General features: G+C 43.9%; 1 annotated feature.

The window, feature by feature from the left end:
- Nucleotides 2464-2647: a silencer, noted in NCBI's record as "fragment chr16:74103850-74104033 (GRCh37/hg19 assembly coordinates)". NCBI's record gives its function as "represses an EF-1alpha promoter that drives an FKBP-Casp9 reporter gene in an ReSE screen in phorbol 12-myristate 13-acetate-treated (for megakaryocytic differentiation) K562 erythroleukemia cells {active_cell/tissue: K562(+PMA)}" and the evidence as "EXISTENCE:reporter gene assay evidence [ECO:0000049][PMID:32094911]".

The following is a 9723-nucleotide window of genomic DNA, read 5'->3' on the forward strand; positions in this document are numbered from 1 at the left end:
TCTGTGAAAGAATTTTAACATTCGGGTGCTGTGAGCTCAATCTTAAAAATGTTATTGGTAGATGAAAGCCGAGCATCTAAGTAACGTCTGCTTTTCTTCTTTAAGCATCTTCATATTGCTACTGCTTACATGAAGCCAGGACAAGAACGGCTCCTGGGATACCATTCCCTGTGTCTTTGCATCATTAAAAAAATAAAAAAATAAAAACACTTGAAGTCCTAGAATTATCATCTGGCAGAAACATCTAAGAGTAGGAAGAACACAGAAATGAAATGAGAAAAGGAATTTGAATGTAAATATTATGAGGGTATCTTACCCTCATATTGAAAGTTGTCACCCAAAAAAGGTGATAAAATTTACTTACAAATTTTTAAAAATCAGTATTTCCCAAATATGTTTTGCACTGGATGTGTCCCTCTGGCTATGAAATGTATATTACTCATCCCACATCTGACCTCGATTGTTTAATGTGTTGGAATTTTTATATTGTTGAGAAGGAAATGGTGATAGCTTTCACTCTTCTTTGTACCACTTATTTCAGAAATGACCAGCTAACATCAAGCAAATCTACCTAGTACAGGGTAGAGACCAGTGATAGGCAACAGGAATATAACACGAGTGTAATGGTAATTTTAGGGGTCAACTTGACTGGATTAAGGAATACCTGCAGAATTAGTAAAGCCTAGGCCAGGCACAGTGGCTCACACCTGTAAACCCAGCACTTTGAGAGGCCCGAGGTAGGAGGATCACTTGAGGCCAGGAGTCAAAGCCAGAAAGTCATGACCAGCATGGACAACAACAACTGGCTAAAAAATTAGCCAGACGTGGTGGTACACATCTGTAGTCCCAGCTACTCAGGAGGCTGAGGTGGGTGGATTATTTGAGGCCAGGAGTTCAAGTCTGCAGCAAGCTATGATCATGCCACTGCACTCCAGCCTGGGCAACAGAGCAAGACCCTGTCTCAAAAAAGAAAAAAAAAAAAAGAACCAGTAAGAAAGTACCTTGGAATGTGCCTGCGAGAGTGTTTCCGGAGGAGACTGGTGTGTGAGTCTGAGCTAAGTGAAGAAGACCCACTCTCCATGTGGTCAGGCACCATGCAATCTGCTAGGGGCCCAGATAGAACAAAAACAGAGGAAAGGCAAACTGGTCTTTCTCTCTCCTGGACCTGGGATGCACTCTTCTCCTCCTGCCATTGAACCTCAGAACTCCCAGCTCTCCACCCTTTAGAGTCTGGGACTTAAACCCCAGCCCCCTGGGTTCTCAGGCATTTGGACTTGGACTGAGCCATGCTCCTGGCATCGTAGGGTTTCCAGCTTGCACGCAGCCTAATGGTGGGCCTTCTCAGCCTCCATAAATAAATCGCCTCTCATAGATACAATATATCCTGTTGACTCTGTTTCTTTGGAGAATCTTAATACAGTGAGTCAAGTATTAATTTTAAATTTTCTAGTAGCCACATTCAAAAAGTTTGAAAAGTGAAATTTAACTCAATATTCTAAAATATCTTAACACAATTGACATGAACATATTAGATTTGTATACACTATTTTGCACTAAGTCTTTGAGATTAGGTATATATTTGAGACTAACAGCCTATCTCAGTTACAACTAGTAACATTTCAAGTGCTCAAATAGCCAACATGTGACATAGTGGCTACCATACTAAATAGCAGAGCTCTAGATATATAAAAGGGACTGTAAAGGGAAGGAAGTGAAGCAGGCACGGAATGATGTGCTAACTGGGCAGGAACAGCAGAAGACAAGTGCCCAGATCCCCTTCATGTCTCCCTCCTTTCTGTCCCCATCTCCTCCTATGGGGGTTTTCCAAAGCCCCAGGCTTCACCCACTGCCCTTGTCTCTTTAGACGTTTTCTCTTGGGTGAGCTGAATCATTCATTCACTTATTCATTCAATAAACCTTTCCTGGGTGCCTACGATGTGCCAAGTACCCTGCTAGGTGCTGAGGTTTTAAGGACAAATAAGATAAATACACATCAATGCACACTCGGGGTATGCGTTGTGCTACAGTGGAGGATGCTAACGGGCATGTGTTCAGGCATAGGAGTATGGGGCAGGGGCAAGGAGAGGGGAGGAAGGTGGCTTACAGCTCAAATGTTATCTCCTAGAAGGATTTTTCCTGACTCTTCAATATAGAGCAAAGGTCCTTACCCCCTCCCTAGGCATCCACTATTGCATCACCTTCTTTCATTTTCTTTAGAGCACGTATACCTCGGCTCACTGCAAGTTCCGCCTCCCAGGTTCACGCGATTCTCCTGCCTCAGCCTCCTGAGTAGCTGGGACTACAGGTGAGTGCCCCACCATGCCCGGCTAATTTTTGTATTTTTAGTAGAGACAGGGTTTCACCATGCTGGTTAGGCTGGTCTCGAACCCCTCACCTCATGATCCACTCACCTCAGCCTCCCAAAGTGCTGGGATTACAGGCGTGAGCCACCGCGCCCTGCCAACAAAACCAGTCTTTAGCACGCTGTAATGTGACGGAATGTGGCACTCTTGCTTCTGCCTTAAGAGTTCTTTGGAACGAGGCTAGGTAGACACCGTCCTAGCTTGCATTCCCCTGAAATCAAGCCCTGAGCCACCAAAGACTTGAGCACAGGTAGTTTATTCAAGGGATGATCCAGGAGATACAATTGCAGGAATGGGGGAAAATGAGACAGGAAAGACAGAAAAGCCCAAAAAGCTATGTTCACAAGAACTACTGCCGTGGACGACTGCAACTCAGTTCCACTGGGGACCCTGTGAGCTGCCGTGTCGATCAGAAGTGCTCCTGCAAGGGATGGGAAGGAAGGTGGGAGCACTCATCCGCTGACTTCCGTCTCTCAGTCGCTGAGGTCACTCCTGGGAAAGTTAAATCACCAGCTTCCGGGCAGCCCTGCATGGAGCTGGAGAAAGCTCACAGGCAGAAAAGCAGAGACACACAGAACTGGACACTGTCACTGTGCACAGGAACCAGCCACGGTAGCCACAAATGACTCAGCTGCCAGTCAAGGGGACACAGGGCACGGTGTCAGCTGCATTTGCCACGTCGTTCATTCATCTTCCTGAACCATCACAGCCAGGCCAAAGGCCCTTAAATCTGGTTTCTACTAGGGGTCCTATCAGCATCTCCTGATGGACTTGGGATTGATGTTACTTACACCCTTCTATCTCAAAGACCTGTTCTTCAAATGGGAGATGATGTTGACTTTTACCATAAGGTGCAAGGAGGCAGAGAGATGTGACTGAGCTCTTATGTTTGATGGGGCTCAGGTCAGGGGTCACAAATGCAAATGCCTTCAATGGCTTTGGCTTTATGAGTATCATAAACAGGGATAAAGGCACAGTGAGAGTGATCCTGATGGCTCCAAGGGCAGGGTAAGAGGAGCCACAAAAGTGGCAAGGTGGGGAGCGTTGAGGGAGGGTGGGTGGGGGTCTTGCCAAAGGCGCACAGTTCTGGAGCTGCCACTTAACTCCTGCCAATTCCAGTCATTCAACCGACACCGAGTGTCTAGCAACACACCACAAACCAGGCTAAATATTCATCATACAGCTATTCACGATCCCAACCCTGGGGAATGAGAAGCAAAATTGTATGATAAACGCTCAAGAAGGAAGTCCTTCACCAAGCCTGAAGTCTATTCTTAAAAATCTATTTTATAGTGGAACTGACATGTAAAACACCTTATAGAAGTTTACATATGGAAAAATAAGGTCAGAGAACAAAAGTACCAAGTTAACCTATGAGCACCCTTATAAATATTTCTTATCACTTCTAACTTACTAATAACTAAGTCCCCCAAAAATGTTTAACTTGCAGATCACAGATGGGTCAAACTTTAAACTCAGATAGTTCAACCATAAAGCCTACACTCCTCATGCAAAATCAATGAAACGTGATTAAAATGCAACAAAGATAGAACATTAAATGAACCGAGTATGAACTATATTTCATGTAGCAAAAATATATAATAGAGGTTACCATATTGTTAATTTCTGGTACAGAACAAACCACCTCAGAACTTAGTGACTTACTACAAACATTTATTATTTCTCATGACTCTGATCTGGGCTGTGATCTGGCCACAGCTAAATGAGATGAGATGGCTTCACTCATGTCTGTAGCCTCAGCTGGATGGCCTAGATGGTTGGCATCTCATTCTCCAAGAGGGTGGCTGGGCTTGGTCACATGGGGACAGAAGGGTTCCCAGCAACTAGACGTGTTAATCCTAATCACAAGTAATTTTCCAGCCTCTGAATCATCTGTATTATCCCAAAAGCAAGGCACATAGTCAAGACTAGAGTCAGTACAGAAATAGAGCTGGGGAGGCAAGAACAAATTGGGAGTAATCTACCATATAATTCTCTTTTGAGTTCTATGAAATACTTGCCAATTCATTTTGCTTTGCAGCAGACGCATGAACTTTATTCCATGTCAGTCATTCATCCAAATATTCAATCCCTTCCCAATTTTATAACTCAGAATAAATTCTTTCCAGGTCCCACAGAGTAATCAAGTTACAGAATGACTGCACTAAGAAGGTGATGAGGAAGAGAAATAGGAAGAAGAAGGGGAAGAAGATGAGGAAGCAGAGAAGGAGCTACCGCTGCTGCTACTACTGCAGGTAACATTTATGTAACCTACTCAGCATGGTGTGTATTTCTGAACCTCCCCACAACCCTCAGGAATTGTCCTCCCCGGCTGATTCTGTGCCCTCCTCCCACAGCACCAGGGATGCGGCGTTAAGACACAGGGTACACCCTCCTCAGCTTCCCTTATGTCTTCTGAGTTATACTGTTCACACTTCCTACTCCCAAGCCCCAGTTTCCACTCTTTCAAATACCAGTAACAAGAATGACTCACAGTTCATATACTGGAAATGCTCACGGTTGCTAGGAGTGATACAGAAGTATAACTCTTATACTAGAACTTTCCAAAGGGAAATGAGAAGGGATGTGTACACAGACTGCTTTAAGAGCAAGGTGGAAAAGCTGCTCAATGTGCCGGGGAAGGGAGGACAGGACTCTCGGGCAGGTTTCATGACCCGGGTGAAACAAGTCGCACCAGTGTGTGACTTTGGCCAGTGACGCCTTTCTGTGCTCCAGTTTTCTCACCTGAAAAGTAGAGATGATCAGTAATAGGAGGTAATACACTGAAAGCATTTGTCCCAGCCCCTGAAAACAGCAAGGTAGCTGACAAACACCAGGAACTACTACACTTCACTCTGAACTGCACATGGTTTCACATTTAAGTGCCTCCAATTGAAACATCCTTCAATACATACCAAAAGAAACTTGATGGTCAGACTAAAGGGTGAGCTGCCATCAATATCTTCCCAGGCTGTTTGTGCACCACGTTCATACACAGAACCCTCCGGCAAGGTCCCTAAGCCTAGGTAGCAACTTCTATCCAGCAGCTTCCCAGGCAGGGAAGGATCTCTCTTCCCTTTCCTTCCTCCTCTCTTCCCGTGGCAAAATCCTCTAATACATCCATTTTAAGAAAGCAAAAGCTAGGAAGGAAATCATTAGCGCACGCATGCACATGTGCGCGCGCACACACTTCTCTCTCTCTCTCTCTGTTTTCTGCCCGTACCTCCAACCTCCCAAGGCAAAGGAGAACAAAGAGGCCTGGTTACCATCCCTGCAAGAGTATAGGGAAAAGGTCTCAACTAACTATGAACTGAGTGCTTAGATCCCTCCAAAATTCATATATTGAAATTCTAATCCCCAATGTGATGGTATTTGCAGATAGGGGTCTTTGGGAGGTGATTAGGTCATGAGTGTGGGGCCCTAATGAATGGGATTAGTGCTCTTATAAGGAATCGTGACAGCATGCCTCCTTCCCTTCCCCTCTCTTCCCCTCCATCCATCCCCCCTCCACCGTGTGAGGAACAATGAAAAGACATCTGTCTGCAAACCAGGAAGTGAGCCCTCACCGGACACCAGATCTGTAAGCACCTTGATATTGGACTCCCCAGCCTTGAGAACTGTAAGAAATATGTGTTTACTGTTTAAGCCACCCACTCTATAATTTGTTACAGATGCTCTAGCTGACTAAAACAAAAAACAAAACAAAACAAAATCCAAATTGATTTCTCAAATGTTATTACTGCCCAGGACAAGCCAAGGAGTTTGGACGGCATCCCATGGATGACTGGGGATGATTGCAATGTTTATGCAGGGCATGAACCCATGCATGTTTGCTTTGAAAAACTATCATGTGTAGCAGTGGGTTGAGAAAGTCTAGAGCAGTGGTTCTCAAAATGGGATCCCCAGACCGCGACATCAGCATCACCTGGGAAACTTGTTAGAAGCAATTCTCAGGCTCTACCTCAGACCTGCTGAGTCAGAAACCATGAGTGGGACCCAGATGCTATTTAACAAGCTCTCCAGGTGATTCCGATGCGCTGAAGGCGGAGAACCCAGGGTGTAGAAGCAGGTAGGCCAGAGGGAGTTGTACAGTGCATCTCTGATTAAGACATCTTATCTCTGCTCCTGAAAGCCCATTGAAATGATACTAAAGAAATATTTAATTTTTTTTTTTCTTGAGATGGAGTCTTGCTCTGTTGCCCAGACTGGAGTGCCGTGGTGCAATCTTGGCTCACTGCAATCTCCACCTCCCGGGTTCAAGCAATTTTCCTGCCTCAGCCTCCTGAGTAGCTGGGACTACAGGCACATGCCACCATGCCCAGCTAATTTTTTGTATTTTTAGTAGAGATGGGGTTTCACTGTGTTAGCCAGGATGGTCCCTATCTCCTGACCTCGTGATCTGCCTGCCTCAGCCTCCCAAAGTGCTGGGATTACAGGCATGAGCCACTGCGCCTAGCCAATAAATATTTAAATATTTTAAGATACTGGTGAGAGCAAAGAAAACAAGTAGGGAGAACACACACAAAAATGAAAGATGTCATACAAGTGTGGAAGGTGGAAGGAAAATGGAACAGTGAATAGCACTGTAGGAGCTGAAACAAGGGTCTGCAGAAGCCAAGAGAGGGAAGTGAGATGAGCCATCCCTCAGCTCCCTGGAGAGGTGCAAGAATTGGTGATGAAGAGGTTCCTAAAGAGAAGTCATCTTTTAGCATCTGCCCAGTGTATGGAACTTGGGAAAGGAGAGAGATCACAAAAAACAAGCTTTAGAAAGCTTTGCTCAGGGTCTGTCTATGCAAAATCCTCTATCGTGACCTCTCCAGGAAACGTATCGTGAATAAAGCTACTGGAAATACAACATGTGAGATGGAAAACTGTGCAAACAGAAGAAAGTTTTTCTAGAAATGCTTGTTTCAAAATATACCTAAAACATGTTAATTTGTTTTTAATTCTTTTATCATAGACTGCATAATATTTATTTGAATTCAGTTTTGCTCAGGTGATAGATCATGTAGGTTTCCTGTTATATCCACTCCAATTACCTTGGGTTATGCCTAAGATCAGCAGTAAATAGGACTGAGGACCCAGCTGGGGAAGTCTCCAGTTTGCCTTAGGCTTAGGGGTACACAGATGATCATAGAACATATGAAAGACTTATATGGTGTCTTCTCCAGGGGTGGATTCAAGTTTTGTGAAGCCGAAAGCTTACAGAATTTGTTAAGAAAAAAGAATACAAAATTATGAATACAAACTGCCCCAGGCCCCTCAATGTAATTTGAATAAAAACATTTAAAGACATGCAAGACCTAAAATGATTTAGCTCCTGTTCACTGGTTCTCAGGAAGCTATTGGAAGTTATGCTCCAACACAAGAAAGGAAACCTAGATGGAGGGAGACACAGGATCTAGAAAACGGGATGACCCAGTGAGATATCACTTTATACCATCTAGAATGGCTAACATTAAAAAGTCAGATAATAACAAGTGCTGGTGAGGATGTGGAGAAATCAGAACCCTCCTACACAGCTGGTGGGAATGCAAAATGGAGCATGCTCTATGGGAAGCAGTCTTGCAGTTCTTCAAAAGATTAAACAGATTGCCATATGACATAGCAATTCCACTCCTTTGTGTATACCCGAGAAAACTGAAAATATAACTCTACACAAAAACTTGTACACAGATGTTCATAGCAGCATTATTCATAGTAGCCAAAATGTAGAAACAACCTCAACGTCCATCAACTGATGAACGGATAAACAAAATGTGGTATATCTACACAATGGAATATTATTCAGCCATAAAAAGGAATGAAGTGCTGATACATGCTACAACATGGATGAACCTCGAAAACATGATACTAAGTGAAAGAAGCCAGGCAAAATAGCACATATTATTATTCCATTTATATGCAATGTCCAGAATAGTCAAATCCATGCAGATAGAAAATAGGTGATTGTCAGGTGGCGGGGACATCACAGGGAGTGGAACGGAGCAGAGGAGTGATCACTAAAGAGTACACAGTTTCTTTTTGAGGTGATGAAAATGTTCTCAAATTGACTGTGGTAATGGTTGAATGTATCTGTGAACAAATTTTAAAAATTACTTAATTGTGCACTTTAAATGGGTGAATTACCATGGAATACTATGCAGTTATAAAAAGAATGAAATCATGTCCTTTACAGCAACATGGATGCAGTTGGAGGGCCATTATCCCAAGCAAATTAACGCAGGCACAGAAAACTCAATTCCCCATCTTCTCGCTTATAGGTGGGAGCTAAACATTGGGTACTCAGGGACATAAAGATAAGAACAATAGGAACGGGGGGCCTGTGGGGGAGGCAGGGGGAGGAAGAAGGTTTGCAAAGCTAACTATTGTGTACTATGCTCACTACCTGGGTGATGGGATCAGTCATACCCTACGCCTCAGCATCATATGATATATCCATGTAATAAACTCACATGTACCCCTAATAGTTGAAATTATAAAAAGAAGTTAAAAATGAGTGAATTATATGGTATGTGACTATGTCATAATAAAGCAGGAGGAGGGAATGGAGGATGGCAGGGAGAGAACGATGGAGACAAGGAAGCCAAGAGAAACAGAGTAGCAGGGGTGAGTGACACCAGGACACGAGAGAATGTAATTGACACGGCACATCCCTCCCTCCCTCCCTCCCTCTCTCCTTCCTTCTTTCCCTCCCTCCCACTGCTACTCTAACATTTGCAAAAGCATCTCAACACAGTCTCCCTGAAACATGTTACTCTGCACACCACCAAAATCCAAACCCCCTCCCCATGGCCCCGAGTCTAAGGAAATTCCTAAAAAGGTAGTGAACGCAAGTCCCTGAGCTCCCAGGCTGAGCATCTGGCCTAGAAAACAACTGGCTCAGGTAGGGCCAAGAGAAAGGCCAAGGCCAGGAGAACCACCTCCCTCCTAGCCCCCACTCCTTCCCCAGCCATCACCATCACAAAGCCACTAGACCTATTGACATGTTTGGCCATGTTCAGAGGAGTTTAGTAGCTCTGAAAGAAAGCTGGTGGAAAGATTTAGTGACACATTCCCCAGAAACAAGCACAAAACAACAACAAAACAGTTAATATCTCTAGGAAAAACAAAGTGTAGCCCCAGAAAGGAAATCCAATTGCTGAACATTGTATGGCTCAGTTGAGAACAATATTTATGTAGTTAATATAAGCATTAAGTCTTATTGTCACCAAAATTATGGCACCACTATATTTGGAGAAGAAAGAAATGAGTGGGTATCAGATGGGGAGGTGAATAGTTTAATAAGGCTAAAAACTCATCTTCCTGTTGCAAAATCAAGGATAATGTCTAAAAGTTGGCCAGAGAAAGTGGGGAGCAG

The sequence above is a fragment of the Homo sapiens genome, chromosome 16 (assembly GCF_000001405.40).
Source record: "Homo sapiens chromosome 16, GRCh38.p14 Primary Assembly".
Lineage (NCBI taxonomy): Eukaryota > Metazoa > Chordata > Mammalia > Primates > Hominidae > Homo > Homo sapiens.